This window comes from Homo sapiens, chromosome 4 (assembly GCF_000001405.40).
Source record: "Homo sapiens chromosome 4, GRCh38.p14 Primary Assembly".
Lineage (NCBI taxonomy): Eukaryota > Metazoa > Chordata > Mammalia > Primates > Hominidae > Homo > Homo sapiens.
Genome location: NC_000004.12, coordinates 48430924 through 48451036, shown reverse-complemented (window position 1 = coordinate 48451036; position 20113 = coordinate 48430924).

The window sequence follows — 20113 nt, the reverse complement described above, 5'->3', positions numbered from 1 at the left end:
GGCCAGCATGTCCAAAATCTGCAGGGTTGGCCTGTAGACTGGAGACCCAGGGAAGAGCTAATGCTGCAGTTCAGGTGTGAAAGGCATCCACTGACCGAATTCCCTTTTGCTCAGGGCAGGCCAGTCTTGTTCTATCCAGGCCTTGAAATGATTGGATGAGGTCCACCCACACTATGAAGGGCAACCTGCTTTGCTCAAAATTCATCTATGTAAATGTTAATCTCATCCCAACATCCTCGCAGAAATATTCAGAATAATTTTTGACACATATCTGGGCTCTGCGGCCCAGCCAAGTTGCCACATAAAATTAACCATCACAATGGTTAATATTTTTAAACTTTCAAGGAAGTTTAAAATATAATATTTATATACATTTTATATATTTATAAATTTATATTGTAGTTATAATAAATTTATTATATTATAAATCTGTTATATAATATATATTTATATTATAAATATGTTATATATAATTTATATTATAAATATATACTTATAAATTTATTGTAACTATCATATATCATATTTTATGTATTTATATTATATATAAATAAAACATTGTATATTATATAGTACATGAATATATATTTTATTTATATATTTTTATTATATATAAATATATCCTCTGAACTATCAATTATGAAGTGTGTATTAGTCAGGTAATATATTTATATTATAATAAACATATTTATTATAATATAATAAGTAAATATAAAAAAATTATTACCTGACTAATACACTCATACATAATTGTGTATTTAATATTTTAATATAAGTATAAATCATTATATATTTGCTATATTTAATATATAAATATATATTTACTATATTATTTAATATATTAATTATATATTAATTACATATTAATATATAATAAATATATAACATATTAATATATAAATATATGTTATATTAATTATAATTAATATATAACAAATTTGTATATATTTATACATTTATATTTATAATAAATATATAATATTTATGTATAATTTAAAAATATAATGTAATCTTAAACTTTCAAGGAAGGCTTCAAAAGTTTACCTCTCATGCATCCTTTCCTATGAGCCACTTAGGAAGCTTCAGCAAAACAAGGGAGTAAACCAATAAAGAAAAAACACAGATCCAGGGAAAGGTTCTAACACAGGTAAGTTTCAGGACAACATCTACCTAGCAGGCCTAGGAAACCACCCAGGAAGATGGAAGTAGCAGTCGGCCCCAGAGTGGGGAGGAAAGGCAGGGAGGACGGTCCCATGCTTTCTTGGTCTTCTCTGGGAGTCTTTAGGGGACGGTGTTAAAGCACAGGCTCTGGAGCCGGACTTCCTGGATTTCAATCCTGGCTTCACGATTTTGTAGCTAGGTGATACTGGGCAAGTGACTCAACCTCCCCGTGGTTCAGTTTCTTCACGTGTAAAATGAGGGAACTCATTTTTTAGACTATGTGTTGCTTGGAGGTATGGTGGCTCCATGATAGTTAGGATGAACTATGTTATGTTGTATTCAGCAACGACCCCCAAAACTCAGGGGCTTAAAACCACAAAGATATTTTCCTTTCTCCTTCTATATGTCCCTGTGGTTGGATGGAGGGCTTCACGTTTTTTCACTCAAGCGAGCACGCTGAGGGAAAGCACGCTGAGGGAGGCTCCACCACCTGGAATGACAGTGTTTGCGGAGGGAAGGAAAGGTCAGGAGTCACATACCAGCCCCTGAAGCCTTCTGCCTAGAAATGACATGTCATTTCTGCTCACGTTCCATTGGCTGAAGGAAGAGAATGGCCAGGGATGTTAAATCCTACCTCACGCTCAGGCGGAAGAGAACCAGAGTCTTGGTGGATGGACACTCTAACCACAGACCGGTAATCCCTCCCACCACAAAGAAGGGACCATGGCTCTAAAGAAGTGGAGTGGAGCCACTTGGAGGGAGGAACAAATGGATTCTAGAGGCGGGAGTAAGGAAAAGGACAGCAGAGGGGAAGAGAGCAATGAGTCTAGGGACAGCGTGTTTTGGATTTGAGAGGGAACAGAGCAATGAGAGAGTTCCTGTGAGGAGTGGGAACATGAGAGTGTGAGAGAGGTCTGAGTGGATTTGTGGGAACTCTTGTTAGGTATTGTGGCCCATAAACCTCTGTGATGGCTCCTTAAGAAACATTAACAGACTTTTGTCACTTTTCAATGCTTTTTAGAATCAGTTTTATGTTTTTTCCAGATGGAACGCCAGGCTAAGACAAGCCTCAAGGTAGCCTATACACGTGAGTTACCATGAGGACCCAAGAAACTTGCCAAACACTTGGCACTTGAAGCCGGCTTCCCTGGACTCAGTCCCCAGAGCCTCTTCCCCCTTCACCTCCTCTGCTGACAGGGGTTCTTTGGTAGGAGGTGGAGAAGTTCAAATAACACATATTTTTATATTTAAGTATTTTTAGTTTATCTAATCCTATTTAATTATATCTTCAGATATTTATAGCTCATTTAGCAAACTCCTAATAGTCAACTTATTCTTCAAATATAGTCTTTTCAAAGTATTTTTATGGGAATTAGGTTCTGGTTTCATTTTTTGAAAAAATATTTTTTAAATAAACATTTCATTTGGGAATAATTTAGACTTACAGAATAATTGCAAAGATAGTTCCCATAGTTCAGAGAGTTCCCATATACCCTATATTCACTTTCCCCTAATGTTAACATCTTACATGAATTAGTATTCTATGTTTGTCTCAACTAATGAACCAACGTTGATATACTTTTATCAACTAAATTTCACAGTTGATTCAGATTTCCTTAATTTTTATCTAATGTTCTTTTTCTGTTCCAGGATCACGCCCAAGACACTGCATTACATTTACTTGTCATATATCCTTTTATTTTGATAAATATGCAAATCTCACACTGATTCACTTGTACTGAAAATAGAACAAATTTAATTCAGAGCAAGCTGAGGGAAGGATTTAAAATACTCCAAGTGTAAATTAGTTCAACCATTGTGGAAACCAGTGTGGCAATTCCTCAAAGAGCTAAAAACAGAACCACCATTCCATCCAGCAATCCCATTTCTGGGTATATACCCAAAGGAATAGAAATCATTCTACCATAAAGACACAAGCACATGAATGTTTGTTGTAGCACTATTCACAGTAGCAAAGACATGGAATCAACCTAAATGCCCATCAATGACAGACTGGATAAAGAAAATGTGGTACCTATATACCATGGAATACTGTGAAGCCATAAAAATGACCGAAACCATGTCTTTTGTGGGAACATGGATGGAGCTAGAGGCCATCATCCTTTGCAAAAGAACGCAGGAACAGAAAACCAAATACCGCATGTTCTCATGTATAAGTGTGAGCTAAATGATGAGAACACATGGACACAAAGAGGGGAACAACAGACACTGGGGCCTACTAGAGGGTGAAGAATGGGAGGAGGAAGTAGATCAGGAAAAATAACTACTGGGTACAAGGCCTGGTACATAAGTGATGAAATAATCTGTACAACAAACCCCCATGACACAAGTTTACAAATACAACAAATCTTCATATGTACCCCTGAACTTAAAACAAAAGATTAAAACAAATGAACAAACAAATGGAATCAATCCACTTGATGAATGGATAAACAAAATGTGGCATATCCATACCATGGAATATTATTCAGCCATAAAAATGAATAAAGCACTGATAAAGGCTACAACATGGATGAACCTGGAATATGTTATGTTAGGTGAAAGAAGCCAGACACAGAAGGTCACATATTGTATGGTTCCACTTATATGAAATGTCTAGAATTGGCAAATTCATAGAGACAGAAAGCAGATTAGTGATTGCCAGAGCTGGGGGGAGGGGAAATTGGGGAGTGACTCCTATTGAGTATGGGTTTCTTTTGGGGGTGATGAAAATGTTCTGGAATTAGGTAGTCACGATGGTTGCACAACCTTGTGAATACACTACAAACCTCTGAGTTGGATACTTTCAAAAGATAAATTTTATGGTATATGAATTATATCCCAATTAAAGTTAATTTTAAGTCTAAGCTCATGATTATGGTATTTCTGACTTCATAAAAAAAAAACTGATAACTCAGTGTGGGTGGAGTAGGCCTTTATATGGTTTTTCACTTGTTTTTTATTGCTCTTAAGAATATTTGGTTGAACTATGCTAGTGTGAATATGCTTTAAGCACTGGACTAATGCAAAAGACTTCTGTAGAAGACATTGGAACAGTGAATCATTCTATCAACATTTATGATCATCTATTATAGGTCATGCTCTATGCTGGGCATAAGAAACAAAAAGATGAGAATACATGAATTCTTTTAGTGCTCATAGTCTAATGCAAAAGATGAGCACGTAATTATGGTGCAGAACAAGGGCTGAAGGAGAGGCATGAACAAAATGCTGGGCTCAGAAAATGAAGTGGCACCCAAGGATTCCTTAGGAAGATATGAAATCAGCATACAGGACTGGTTGAGCTTTTCAAGACCTTAGAGTTAAAAAACAAACTTCAAAGAGCTCACCTGGAAGGGCTGAAAAAGCTGGTGCTGGGAAGGGTAGTGGGGGTGGGAGAGGGGGATGTGGGGATGGTTAATGGGTACAAAAAGTAGTTAGAAATAGTGAATAAGGGCCAAGTGCGGTGGCTCACGCCTGTAATCCCAGCACTTTGGGAGGCCAAAGAAGGTGGATCACTTGAGGTCAGGAGTTTGAGACCATCCTGGCCAACATAGTGAAACCCCGTCTCTACTAAAAATACAAAAATTAGCTGGGCATGGTGGCATGCACTTGTAGTCCCAGTTACAGGGAGGCTGAGGCAGGAGAATCACTTGAACCTGGGAGGTGGAGGTTGCAGTGAGCCGACATTGCCCTACTGCTCTATGGCCTGGGCGACAGAGCGAGACTGTCTCAAAAGTAAAAAAAAAAAAAGTGAATAAGACCTAGAATTGATAGCACAACAGGGTGACTATAATCAATAATAATTTAATTGTACATTTAAAAATAACTAAGAGTATAATTGGATTGTAACACAAAGGATAAGTGCTTGAGGGGATATCCCATTTATTATGATTACTACACATTGCATCCCTGTATCAAAGTATTTAATGTGCCCCAGAAATATATACACCTACTACATGCCCACAAAAATTAAAAAATTAAAAATTAAAATAAAAAAAGGTAAAAATAAAATAATAAATAAAACACTCCAAGAGAAATCAAGATCTCCCCCTAGTGTTTAGATAAATAATAGCACTTTGACTTTCCAACGTTGTGCTAACGCTGAAGAACAAATCTTCGATTTAAAAAAATTTTTTTGAATAGGAGTGGTGAGAGAGGGCATCCCTGTCTTGTGCCAGTTTTCAAAGGGAATGCTTCCAGTTTTTGCCCATTCAGTATGATATTGGCTGTGGGTTTGTCATAGATAGCTCTTATTATTTTGAGATACGTCCTATCAATACCTAATTTATTAAGAGTTTTTAGCATGAAGCGTTGTTGAATTTTGTCAAAGGCCTTTTCTGAATCTATTGAGATAACCATATGGTTTTTGTCATTGGTTCTGTTTATATGCTGGATTACATTTATTGATTTGCATATGTTGAACCAGCCTTGCATCCCAAGGATGAAGCCCACTTGATCATGGTGGATAAGCTTTGTGATGTGCTGCTGGATTCGGTTTGCCAGTATTTTATTGAAGATTTTTGCATCGATGTTCATGAGGAATATTGGTCTAAAATTCTCTTTTTTTGTTGTGTCTCTGCCAGGCTTTGGTATCAGGATGATGCTGGCCTCATAAAATGACTTAGGGAGGATTCCCTCTTTTTCTATTGATTGGAATAGTTTCAGAAGGAATGGTACCAGCTCCTCCTTGTACCTCTGGTAGAATTCGGCTGTGAATCCATCTGGTCCTGGACTTTTTTTGGTTGGTAAGCTATTAATTATTGCCTCAATTTCGGAGCCTGTTATTGGTCTATTCAGAGATTCAACTTCTTCCTGGTTTAGGTTGTTGGAGTTCTGCCCAGGGCAATCAGGCAGGAGAAGGAAATAAAAGGTATTCAATTAGGAAAAGAGGAAGTCAAATTGTCCCTGTTTGCAGATGACATGATTGTGTATCTAGAAAACCCCATCGTCTCAGCCCAAAATCTCCTTAAGCTGATAGGCAACTTCAGCAAAGTCTCAGGATACAAAATCAATGTGCAAAAATCACAAGCATTCTTATACACCAATAACAGACAAACAGAGAGCCAAATCATGAGTGAACTCCCATTCACAATTGCTTCAAAGAGAATAAAATACCTAGGAATCCAACTTACAAGGGATGTGAAGGACCTCTTCAGGGAGAACTACAAACCACTGCTCAATGAAATAAAAGAGGATACAAAGAAATGGAAGAACATTCCATGCTCATGGGTAGGAAGAATCAATATCATGAAAATGGCCATACTGCCCAAGGTAATTTATAGATTCAATGCCATCCCCATCAAGCCACCAATGACTTTCTTCACAGAATTGGAAAAAACTACTTTAAAGTTCATATGGAACCAAAAAAGAGCCCACATCGCCAAGTCAATCCTAAGCCAAAAGAACAAAGCTGGAGGCATCACGCTACCTGACTTCAAACTATACTACAAGGCTACAGTAACCAAAACAGCATGGTACTGGTACCAAAACAGAGATATAGACCAATGGAACAGAACAGAGCCCTCAGAAATAATGCTGCATATCTACAACTATCTCATCTTTGACAAACCTGACAAAAACAAGAAATCGGGCAAGGATTCCCTATTTAATAAATGGTGCTGGGAAAACTGGCTAGCCATATGTAGAAAGCTGAAACTGGATCCCTTCCTTACACCTTATACAAAAATTAATTCAAGATGGATTAAAGACTTAAATGTTAGACCTAAAACCATAAAAACCCTAGAAGAAAACCTAGGCAAGACCATTCAGGACATACGCATGGGCAAGGACTTCATGTCTAAAACACCAAAAGCAATGGCAACAAAAGCCAAAATTGACAAATGGGATCTAATGAAACTAAAGAGCTTCTGCACAGCAAAAGAAACTACCATCAGAGTCAACAGGCAACCTACAGAATGGGAGAAAATTTTTGCAATCTACTCATCTGACAAAGGGCTAATATCCAGAATCTACAATGAACTCAAACAAATTTACAAGAAAAAAACAAACAACCCCATCAAAAAGTGGGTGAAGGATATGAACAGACACTTCTCAAAAGAAGACATTTATGCAGACAAAAGACACATGAAAAAATGCTCATCATCACTGGCCATCAGATAAATGCATATCAAAACCACAATGAGATACCATCTCACACCAGTTAGAATGGTGATCATTAAAAAGTCGGGAAACAACAGGTGCTAGAGAGGATGTGGAGAAATAGGAACACTTTTACACTGTTGGTGGGACTGTAAGCTAGTTCAACCATTGTGGAAGTCAGTGTGGCGATTCCTCAGGGATCTAGAACTAGAAATACCATTTGACCCAGCCATCCCATTACTGGGTATAAACCCAAAGGATTATAAATCATGCTGCTATAAAGACACATGCACACGTATGTTTATTGTGGCACTATTCACAATAGCAAAGACTTGGAACCAAGCCAAATGTCCAACAATGATAGACTGGATTAAGAAAATGTGGCACATATACACCATGGAATACTATGCAGCCATAAAAAATGATGAGTTCATGTCCTTTGTAGGGACATGGATGAAGCTGGAAACCATCATTCTCAGCAAACTACCGCAAGGACAAAAAACCAAACACCGCATGTTCTCACTCATAGGTGGGAATTGAACAATGAGAACGCATGGACACAGGAAGGGGAACATCACACACCGGGGCCTGTTGTGGGGTGGGGGGAGTGGGAAGGGATAGCATTAGGCGATATACCTAATGTTAAATGAAGAGTTAATGGGTGCAGCACACCAGCATGGCACATGTATACATATGTAACTAACCTGCACGTTGTGCACATGTACCCTAAAACTTAAAGTATAATAAAAAATAATAATAAAAAATAAAAATAAAAAAAATTTTTTTTGGAAATAAACATCTCGGTTTCAATATCACCAACAGAAAGGGTAGACACAGTCAATTACTAACAAAAATGGCAAACAAATTCAATAGTAAAATGCCCTTGAAGAGAGAGATGGAATCTCAGACCTGGGAGGTGTTTATGTAAAAAAACCTGTGGAGCTGGAGTGCATTGATTAGGATTAAGGAATCTAAAAGATAAGGTATTCAATCTCCATAGATATTAATATTCAAAATGGCTATCTATTAGTTTCGATGAGCAGTATAGTTCGCGATACTTCCCCCCTCCCACTTCTCACTCTCACTTCTGAGTTAACTGGGCATCAGATTTCTGACTACTCACACCATTGAATGTAGTGAAAAATCAGGAAGTATGCGAAAACAGCCCTGTGAAATAACTATCACAAAGACAGGCAAAAAGAAACTAGGTATCCATGTAGAAGTAAACACAGTTATGAATTTACTGGTTATTATTACTTAATATGAAATTCTAATAATTTGGATTGATTTGGGTTGGCAGAAAGAAAAGAGCACATTTGTAAGGATAGCTTCAACACTGGATTTCTGGCAGCATGATTGACAGCTGGTAGCCAGGGAAGAAATAAATCTACTGAACGCAGAGTATAGTCCTTCATTTTATTGATGAGCCTATATTAACAACATTCACATCATAATCAGCATCTTCTTTTTATGAAAGCGTCCGAAAAATATTTTTATTAAAAATGACTAAAAAATGTTTAAAAGTTCTTGAAAGTTAGCTAAGTTTCTGTGATTTAGTAAATTCATTCATTATTTGGGCAGACCCTGTTGATTGCTAATCCAACATCCATTCCCCCTCTTCTACCGCTAACAGAATTCATTTATTTGGGAAGATAATGAACTCAGCTAAATATTTCTCCAGCTTCCTTTCAGCTAGAAGTTGCTTTGTGACAGTTTTGGTCAATAAGATACAAGCAAAAATCTGCTGGGCCTCTTGGGAAGCTTTTGCTTTCCAGACAAAAGGGAACACATACGCTTGGCACTGCCCCATATTCCTGCCTTGAGTAAAGATGTCCCGACTGGATCCGCAGCAGCGATAATGAACCACAAGGAAACGCTAAGAATGGTGGGGCAGAAAATTAGGAAGAGCCTGTATCCTCAAAATTATTGTTGAGCACTAAACCAACATCACCAATAACCTAATATGGACTTCTTCCACACTTGTTTATGCCCCCTGAAAATCAAGTTTTCTATTACTTTCAACTCATTATATACCGACCAATTAATTATTCCTAAATATTCTCTTTAGTATTAATAAAAATAATTAATGTTTATTGAGGGCACCATGTAAAGCTCTTTTAATCCACACAGCAAGTCCATTATGTAGATTTTACCATCAAGCTCTTTTTTTCAAGGGTGAAGGAGGGATTCTAAAATTTAATGACGTGGGCTGCTAAGGATCACACAGCTAGTAAGTGGTGGAACAAGGGTTCAATTCAGGTCTGACCCCAGATGTTTTCTTATTCACTCCGCCATGCAGTTACAGTATCATTTCCACAACACTGCTGGAAGACTTCCATTTAGAATTTTTGCACCTATATTATGTCTTCAGGATCTAGTTTTCTATGTCTTTTGTCTGATACTTTTCTCAAACCTTCACTCAAAAATGAGAATTACAGTATTAGATTGTATTAGTCCATTTTCACACTGCTATAAAGACACTACCTGAGACTGGGTAATTTATAAACAGAGGTTGAATTGACTCACAGTTCTGCATGACTGGGGAGGCCTCAGGAAACTTACAATCATGGCAAAAGGTAAAGGGGAAGCAGACAACTTCGTCACAAGGCAGCAGGAGAAGGAGAAGTGCGTGGGAAGGAGGAACTGTCAACCACTTATAAAACCATCAGATCTCGTGAGAACTCACTATCATGAGAACAGCATGGGGGAAACTGCCCCCATGATCCAATCACCTCCTACTAGGTCCCTCCCTCGACGCATGGGGATTATGGGGATTACAATTAGAGATGAGATTTGCATGGGACACAGCCAAACCATACCATAGATTTTTGTAGAGCAGGCTGGTCTGATAGCTCTTGGGTTGTTCCAGTGATTTTCTGCATTATAAATACTTTTTTCATCGCTCTACTTACCACTTTTCTGTTTCAGTTTATTATATTTCATGGATCTTGCTGGCATACATTTTTATGCTCAAGTCAGTAAATTTATATTGGTAACTGATATCTCAATGATGATAGACTTTTAAGTTCTAGAAACTTGTAATAACTACCATTAAATGTTAATGAATTTCAAAGATGGCCAAAGCCAAATAGAACACTCCAGCAATCATCTCCCACCCACTCCCCCATGGAACACCAAATTGAACAGCTATCCACAAAAAATAGCACCTTCATAAGAACCAAAAATCAGGTGAGTGATCACAGTATCTGCTTTTAACATCACATTAAAGAGGCACTGAAGAAGGAGGAAAGACAGTCTTGAATTGCTTACACCATTCATTCCCCATCCCCTGGCAGCAGAGAGAGAACCTCTGTGCTTTGGGGAGGGAGAGCACAGTGACTGTGGGACTTTGCTTTGGAACTTAGTGCTGCCCTGTCACAGAAGAAAGCAGCATGGGGCAGAACTCAGCCAGGACCATGGAGGGAGCATTTACACCGGCCCTAGCCAAATTACCTAACCCAGAGAATGTGAGTTCCAGCAAGGCCCACCACCACAGTATAAAGTTCTTTGGGGTTCTAAATAAACTTGAAAGGCAGTCTTGGCCACAAGGACTGCAAGTCCTGGTGCTGGACTGGGCTTGGAGCCAGTGGATTTGAGGGGCATGGGACCAAGTGAGAAACTAGCCAAGGGCATGCTTGTGCTACCCCTCCCCCAGCCCCAGGAAGTGCAGCTCTGGGAAAGACTCCTTCCTTCTGCTTGAGGAGAGGGACGAGTAAAGAGGACTTTATCTTACAACTTGGATACAACCACAGTAGGGCACTAGATATTTATAGACACATCCTGGGCCAGAAGGGAACCTGCTGCCTTGAAGAGAAGGACCTAGTCCTGGTAGGATTAATCACCTGTTGATTAAAGCGTGCTTGGTCCCTGGATAATCAGCAGTGGTAGCTAGGTAGTACTCATCAGGGGACTTGGGCGAAACTCAGAGATGTTCTGGCTTCAAGTGTGACCTAGCACATTCCCAGCTGTGTTGGCTATGGGGCAAGACATTTTCTGTTTGAGGAAAGGAGAGGGAAGGGTAAAGGGAACTTTATCTTGCAGCCTGGGTACCAGCTCAGCCACAGTGGTATAGAGCACCATGCAGGCTCCTGGGGTCCCCGATTCTCATCCTTGGCTTCTGGTGACATAGCTGTGCTTGTGTCACCCCCTCCCTCAGCTCTAGGCAGCTCAGGACAGAGAGAGAGAGAGACTCATTTGTTTGGGGGGAAGTAAGGCAAGAGAATAAGAGTTTCTGCCTGGTAATCCAGGGAATTCTCCCAGATCTTACCCAAGACCATGAAGGCAGTACCTCTACAAGTCTGCAACAGCCATAGCATTACTGGGCTTGGGGTGCCCCCAATACAGATATGGCTGTAGTGACCAAAGCCTTAGATCATAACACCTAAGTCCTTCAAGTACTTGGAAAGCCTTCCCAAGAAAAACGGTATAAACAAGCCCAGACTGCAAAGACTACAATAAATACCTAACTCTTCAAAGCCCAGACACCAGTGAATATCCACAAGCATCAAGACCAGCCATGACCTCACCAAATGAACTAAATAAGACACTAGTCACCAATCCTGGAGAGACAGAGATATGTGACATTTCAGACAGACAACTCAAAATAGCTATTTTGAGGAAGCGCAACAAAATTCTCTGTGATAACACAGAGAAGGAATTCAAAATCCTATGAGATAAATTTAACAAAGAGCTTAAGATAATTAAAAAGAATTAAGGAGAAATTCTGGAGTTGAAAAATGCAACTGACATACTGAACAATGCATTAGGGCCTCTTAACAGCGGAATTCATCAAGCAGAAGAAGGAACTGGTGAGCTTGAAGACAGGCTATTGGAAAATACATAGAGGAGACAAAAGAAAAAGGAATACAAAATAATGAAGTATACCTACAAGATCTAGAAAGTAGCCTCAAAAACACAAATCTAAAAGTTATGGTCCTTAAAGAGAATGTAGAGGGAGAGACTGAGGTAGAAAGTTTATTCAAAGAGATAATAAGATAAAATTTCCCAAACCTGAAGATACCAATATTCAAGTACAAGAAGGTTATAGAACACCAACCAGATTTAACCAAAATAAGACTATCTCAAGATAGTCAATAACCAAACTCCCACAAGTCAAGGATAAAGAAGATTCTAAAAGCAGCAAGAGAAAAGAAATAACACACAAAGGAGCTCTATTATGTCTGGCATCAGTCTTCTCAGCAGAAACCTTACAGGGCAGGAGAGAGTGGCATGATATATTTAAAGTACTGAAGGAAAAAAACCTTTTATTCTAGAATAGTATATCCAGCAGTCCTTTCAAACATGATGAAGAAAAAAAGACTTTCCCAGGTAAACAAAAGCTAAGGGATTTCATCAACATCAAACCTATCCTACAAGAAATGCCAGTGGGAGTTCTTTAATCAGAAAGAAAAGGATATTAATGAACAATAATAAATAATCTGAAGGTACAAAACTCACTGGTAGTAGGTATACAGAATATTATAACACTGTAATTGTGGTGTGTAAACTACTCCAATCTTGAGTAGAAAGACTACAAGATGAACCTATCAAAAATAATAACCACAACAACTTTTCAAGACATAGACTATGATATAAATAGAAAAAAACTGGCCAGGCGTGGTGGCTCATGCCTGTAATCCCAGCACTTTGGGAGGCCAAGGTGGGCAGATCACTTGAGGTCAGGAGTTTGAAACCAGCCTGAGCAACATGGTGAAACCCTGTCTCTACTGAAAATGCAAAAATTAGCTGAGTGTGGTGGCATGCACCTGTAATCCCAGCTACTCGGGAGGCTGAGGCAGGAGAATCATTTGAACCTGGGAGGTAGAGGTTGCAGTGAGCTGAAATGGTGCCACTGCACTCCAGCCTGGGTGACAGAGCGAGACTCTGTCTAAAAAAAAAAAAAAAAAGATACAGATAGAAAAAACAAGAAGTTAAAAGCAGGAGGATGAAGTTAAAGTGTGGAGTTTTTATTTGTTTTCTCTCTGCTTGTAGTTTTTTGTTTGTTTGTTTATGCAATCAGTGTTAAAATAATGAGTTATATTATTTGCAAGCCTCATGGTAACCTCAAATTTAAAAGCATACAGTAAAGACACAAAAAATAAAAGCAAGAAATTAAAACATACCACCAGGAAAATCATCTTCACGGAAAGGAAGACAAATAGGAAGGAAAGAAGACAGAGAAGACCAGAAAACAAATAACAAAATGGCAGGGATAAGTCCTTACTTCTCAGTAATAACATTGAATGTAAATGAACTAAACTCTCCAACCAAAAGACATAGACTGGCTGAATGGATTTAAAAACAAACAAACAAAACAAAACAAAAAAATAAGACCCTAACAATCTGTTGCTACAAGATACACTTTGCCTATAAAGACACACATAGACAGAAAATAAAGGGATCAGAAAAGATATACCATGCCAATGGAACCCAGAAAAGAGCAGGAGTAGCTATACTTAGATAAAATAGATTTCAAGACAAAAACTATAAAATGAGACAAAGAAGGTCATTATATAATGATAAAGGAGTCGATTCAGCAAGAGGATATAACAATTGTAAATATATATATATATATATATATATATATATATATATATATATACCCAACACTAGAGCACCGAGATACATAAAGCAAATATTGTTAGAGCTAAAGAGAGAGAGAGAGAGAGAGAGCGAGAGAAAGAAAGACTCTGATATAATAATAGCTGGAGAATTCACCACTCCACTTTTAGTATTGGACCAAAATCATCCAGACAGAAACTCAAGAAAGGAACATCAGATTTAATCTGCACTATAGACCAAATGGATCTAATACATATTTACAGAACATTTCTTCCAGTGGTGGCAGAATGCACATTCTTCTTCTCAGCACATGGATCAATCTCAAGGATAGAAAATGTGTTAGGCCACAAAATACATCTTAAAAATTTCAAGAAAATTGAAATTATATCAAGTATCTTCTCTGACCACAATAAAATAAAACTACCATTATCATATTTTACCAGTTTTCTGCTTGGAACTTTCAACTGTGCAGGTGGGTGTAGTGGAAAGGGCTTTGTAACTTCACTGTGGGTCAGATCCTGAGTTTGCTACTTGCTAGCTATGCGTTGCTAGGGCAAGTTGTTTGCCCTACATAAGCCAAAATTTCCCTGTATTAAAATTGGGAAAAATATTAGTATCTACCTCATAGTTTTGAAATGATGCATGTACATGCCCAGCAAACACATGGTAAGCACTTTACAAATTGCTGCTATTGTTAGCATTATCATCTCAGCTGACCACACCCTTTTAAGACCTTTGCTCTGCTGTCTTTCAGACAATAAAACCAAAATAACTTAAGTCTACAAGAGCAAAATGCTTCAACAAATGAAAATAACTATTAAAACCAGGCATTCTTTCTTTCCCTACCAATCCTGGTGACTTGTTTTTGTTTACTCTGTTATCAGGTGGGTTCATCAGCCCTGCAATATAATCATTGCTCCTTTATAAGGAATTCAAAAATCTGTATGACTTAATACTGAGTCCACTTGGAATGTTCTAAACATTTAAAATAATTTTTTAAATGCTATATTATTAAATTTATCAAGCTTTTCCACTCATACTATTGATTTTTGATTAATTTATTTACCCTGTTAATTAGGAAGTCTATGAAATTGACAATAGCATAAATTAGTAAAAAATTATTACTTCACATGTCTATGACCAAGGATGCCATCTCAGTCAATTTCCAGAGAAGCTCTATTGTAAAGGCTCATGGGTATGAATGTCAGTTTCGGTTTTGGTGCTGTTACACTAAGAAGTTATCCCCTTGTATAAAATATATCTGAAGACTGGCTTATTTCTTCCAGGTCAAGGAGAGTGTATCTAGTGTTGCTTCTTGATAATGTGGTAGGCTTAATCACTATCAATTTCTTAGTGAAACGTGAGAATGTTTGGGGAAAATAAATTAGGATGTGAACTTAATAATGTAAGTGTTCCTTATTTTATGAAAATTGCACATAGCACAGGTACTGACACATAGAAGATGCTAAATGATAATTGTCAGATGAATACGTATTTATCATTCTTTTCTGATTCTGAGATTTAGACATTTCAAAATCATGTTCTTCTCTCTCAAATATTAGTAACATTTATCTTCTTCTGGAGATTCACAGATCTCCTTTTGAGGTTTCGTGAGAAGAAAACCTAGGCCTCAATGAAAATTGGTTGTGTTTCAGATTATGGTGGAAACATCTTGGATTTAAAAGTTAGCATTAAAAGAACTCTTTCTAGATATTTATGTCTGGTTTGGTGGCATCTTACAAAAAAAATAAGTAGATACCACCTTTTGTCTAAAAGATGTTTGAAATGTACATATCTTAAGTAGCTGCTGGCCAAATTTCCAATTCTCAAATATAGATTTTTTCCCCTTCAACTTTCTAGAAGTGTGGGCAAAAAAGTGTCTACCACAGAAACTTGAGTGTTGTAATTAAAAGTGTTTTTCATGTCATTTACAAGTAATGAAGATAAAGAAACTCTTATAGAAACACTTTTTGTAAAAGACTAACAGATTTTGCTTACATTTACTTAGTAGTCATAATCTCCTTTATTTCCTATAAAGCTAATATTTTAACTCGATTATAAAATTACATGATTAGGAGTGGTTTTGTTCTCAGTCCATAGCATAGGGCTGTGCAAAATAAGTTAAACCTACAGAAGCCTTGCTAGCTTGCTGAGAATGAAAATAGGTGGAAAAATCTGATATGTATATTAAAAATGTAAATATAAATTTAATTCTATTTTTAATTTAGTTCTATTTTTAATTCTTTGACAAATCTCCATACTGTTTTCCAAAGAAGTTGAACTAATTTGCATTCCCACCAACAGTGTATAAGCATTCTCTTTTTCGGCAACTTCGCCAGCATCTGTTATTTTTTGACTTTTTAATAATAGCCATTCTGACTGGTGTGAGATGGTATCTCACTGTGGTTTTGATTTGCATTTCCCTAATGATTAGTAATGTTGAGTATTTTTTCATGCTCATTGGCCACTTGTATGTATTCTTTTGAGAAGTGTCTGTTCATTTCCTTAGCCCACTTTTTAATGGGGTTGGTTTTTTTTCTTGTTGATTTTGTTTAAGCTCCTTATAGATTCTGGATACTTGTCCTTTGTCAGATGCCTAGTTTGCAAATATTTTCTCCCATTCTGTAGATTATCTGTTTACTCTTTTGATAGTTTCTGTTGCTGTGCAGAAGCTCTTTAAGTCATATTTGTCAATTTTTGTTTTTGTTGCATTTGCTTTTGAGATCTCAGTCATAAATTCTTTGCCTAAGCCAATGTCCAGAAGAGTTTTTCCCAGGTTTTCTAGGATTTTTATAGTTTGATTCAATCTGGCAATCCCACTACTGGGTGTTTACTCAAAAGAAATCGTTCTATCAAAAAGATACATGCACTTGTATGTTCATCGCAGCACTATTCACAATAGCATTTATATATTTAATATATTTATATTATTAAAATATATAAATTATATAAATGAAATCAACCTAAGTGTCCATCAACAAATGACTGGATAAAGCAAATGTGATACACACACACCACAGAATACTACACAGCCATAAAAAAGAATAAAAATCATGTCCTTTGCAGTCACATGGACACAGCTGGAGGCCATCATCCTAAGTGAATTAACTCAGAAACAGAAAATACCGCATGTCCTCATATATAAGTGGGAGCTAAACAATGGGTACATATGGATAAAAAGATGGGAACAGTAGACATTGGGGATTCCAAAAGGGGAGAGGCTGAAAAACTACCTACTGGATACTATGTTCGCTGTTTGGGTGATGGGTTAAATAGAACCCCAAATTCCAGCATTATGCAAGACTCTCATGTAAAAAATCTGCACATGTACCCTCTGAATCTAAAATAAAAGTTGAAATTATATAAACAAATATATAAACAAACAAGACACCTTTGCCAGGTGCAGTGGCTCATGCCTGTAATTCTGCAACTGGGGAGATTGAAGTGGGAGGATTGTGAGCCCAGAAGTCCAAGGTTACAGGGAGTTGTGATCGTGCCACTGCACACCAGCCTGGGTGACAGAACGAGACTCAAAAAACCACACCTTCATCTCATATTTCTATAAACCACCTTAAATCCTTTTGGGGACAAAACCGGCTTAAAAAAAAAATAAATTCAGTTGCTGCAATTGAGCGTCATATATGGATCTAAACTTTCGGGCAACAGGGACAAAAATGCAAACATGATAAATCACATAGGTCTTGTATTGAAGGAGAGCCCCAGTTCCTCAAAAGAGACAATGATTTTTCCAGATACTGCATTCTAGAAAAAAATTCTCACATGGGCCTTTATATAGGGGATATTGAGTCACATAAGGAACAATGCTCTTGATAATTTTACACCAGAGGCAGAAGCAGCTTTTGTTCTTCATAAACCCTTGATAAAGCCAAATGCATAATATTAGAGTAAAATTCATGAAAATGCTTCTCGTGGTGCAAATACAAAACTCATGATGCCATGAATGGAGAAGGCTGAAACAATGAAGAGTGCATTCACAGACTAGATTGAACTCATTTCATTAAGTAAAACAAGTTTTTTGAGGGGAGCAAGGAAAACAGCGGTTATATTTCTCTTTTACTGTTTGAAAAAGCAGTGGGTATACATATGGACATGATAAAGAATTCAAACAGGGCTAGGTGGGGTGGGTGTGCGCCCCTAGTCCCAGCTACTCAGGAGGCTGACTGACGTGGGAGGATCGCTTGAGCCCAGGAGTTCAAGGCTGTAGTGAGCTATGATCACGCTGCACTCCAGCCTGGCCAACAGACCCCGTCTCTTAAAAAAAAAAAGAAAAAAAAAAAAGAAAAAAGAATTAAAATACTCAGGTAAAATGCTGGTTCCTTATCTCCTTACCACTGTTAGCTGTGTCTCCCACTCCCGTCTTCACAGGTAACCAGTTACCTGTTTCTTTTGTATCCCTTCAGAAGCAGTCATTGTTAACAGAGCAAATATGACACACAAACCTTTTTATTCCAAATGGCATTTTGACACCTTGTTTTTACTTTTCATGATGCATCGTGGGTGTCTTTCCATATCATTACACATAGAGCTATTATATCTTGATCTTGGTAATAGGTGCCTAATATTTCAGTGAATGTTTCATAATTTAACCAGTTTCCTATTGAGGGACATTTAAGTCCAGCCTTGTTTGTCCACAAATACTACTATATACATATTCTTGTATTCTTATCTACACAAGCACATAGACAGGTACACCTATAAGATAATTAGAAGTGGAATCAATGGGTCCAAATGTACATTTTTTAAATTTATTTTTTTGTAGAGATGGGGTCTACTATGTTGCCTAAGTTGGTCTCAAAAAACTTCTGGTCTCAAGCAATCCTCCAGCCGTGGCCTCTCAAACTTGGGATTATAGGTGTGAGCCACCGTAGCCAGGCCAAAGGTATGTTTTAAATTTTGTTGTGTTTCAAATTGCTCTCTAAAGAGACTCCCATCAGCAATGCTTTCATTCAGTAAATATTTGTGTGCCTACCATGTGCCAGGCACTGGTCTAGGTATTTGCCAAGAGTTGATAAACAAAAATGATCTCTGCCTCCATGAACCATATATGGTATACATGCATGCGGGTGTGTGTGGGTGTGTGTGCCCACATGCAAGGGCATGCACACGAGTGGAGGGAGAAGAGAAAGCTGGCATAATAATGAGTTAATTATATGGGATGCTTGGAGGTGATAAGTGCTATGGAAAAGAGGAAGAGTTTGGTTAAAAAAAAATAAGATTAGAAGCTGGGGGAGGGGCTGAGTCAAAATTTTCACTGAGGAGGTGACACATGAGCAGACTTGAAGCAGGTAAGGGATTCGACATATGGCATCTGGGGCAAAGAGCGTCTCAGCAGAGGAAACAGGCAGTGTTTTCTTGGGTCTCTGGTGGGAATGTGCCTGAGGCCAGGAGCCAGGAGCCAGGGAAGTTGAAATGGAGTGGAGTGAGGGAGGAGATAATGCCAGAGAAATAAGTCGGGGGGAGCAATAGACATTTTGGCTTTTACAATAAATACTTGGTGAGCCCCTGGAGGATTTGAGATGAGGTTTGACATGACTGAATTACATTTTAAAAGGATCACTTGTGGCTGTGTGGGAGTGAGGGTTGAGGCAAGGAAGTGGTTAGAGTCTGGATATATTTTGAAGGTAGAATCAATGAGATTTATTTACAGATTGGTTAGGTGTGTATGGAGAGAGAGAGCAAAAGAGTGAGTGAGGGAGAAGAGATACCAAGAATGACTCCAAAATTGCTATTAGCTGAGATGAATGAAACAGGTTTGCAAGATCAGAATTGCGGCTTTGCACAGGTACACTCTGAGCTGCCTGTTTAATATTCAAATGAAGACACTGAGGAGGCAGTTTGGTATGTGAGTCTGGAGTCTCCAGACATATAACAAATGGTTTCTCAGCCATGAAACACTGCAAGAGTGTAGACAGAGAGGTGGACCAAGGACTGGATCCTGGGACACAACAAATAGCTACAACACTAAACTTAAGAAACCCCTGGTGGAACTGGTAAGAGAAGAGGTATGGAGGGGAAAGAGTGAGGGAGGGAAGGTGATAAAGAGAGAGAGATCCAAATACTAACACATGGAATTAAGGGGTTGTCACTTCAGATCCTGCATTCATTAAAAAGGGTTACAAACAACTTTACTAAAAACTCTCTCCACAATACCTACAGAACTCCTATAAATTAGTAAGAGAAAGAGACACCTCAATATAAAATCAGACAAATGATTTGAAAGAGACTTCACAACAGAGAATACCCAAATGGATGCACTTGGACATTGGAA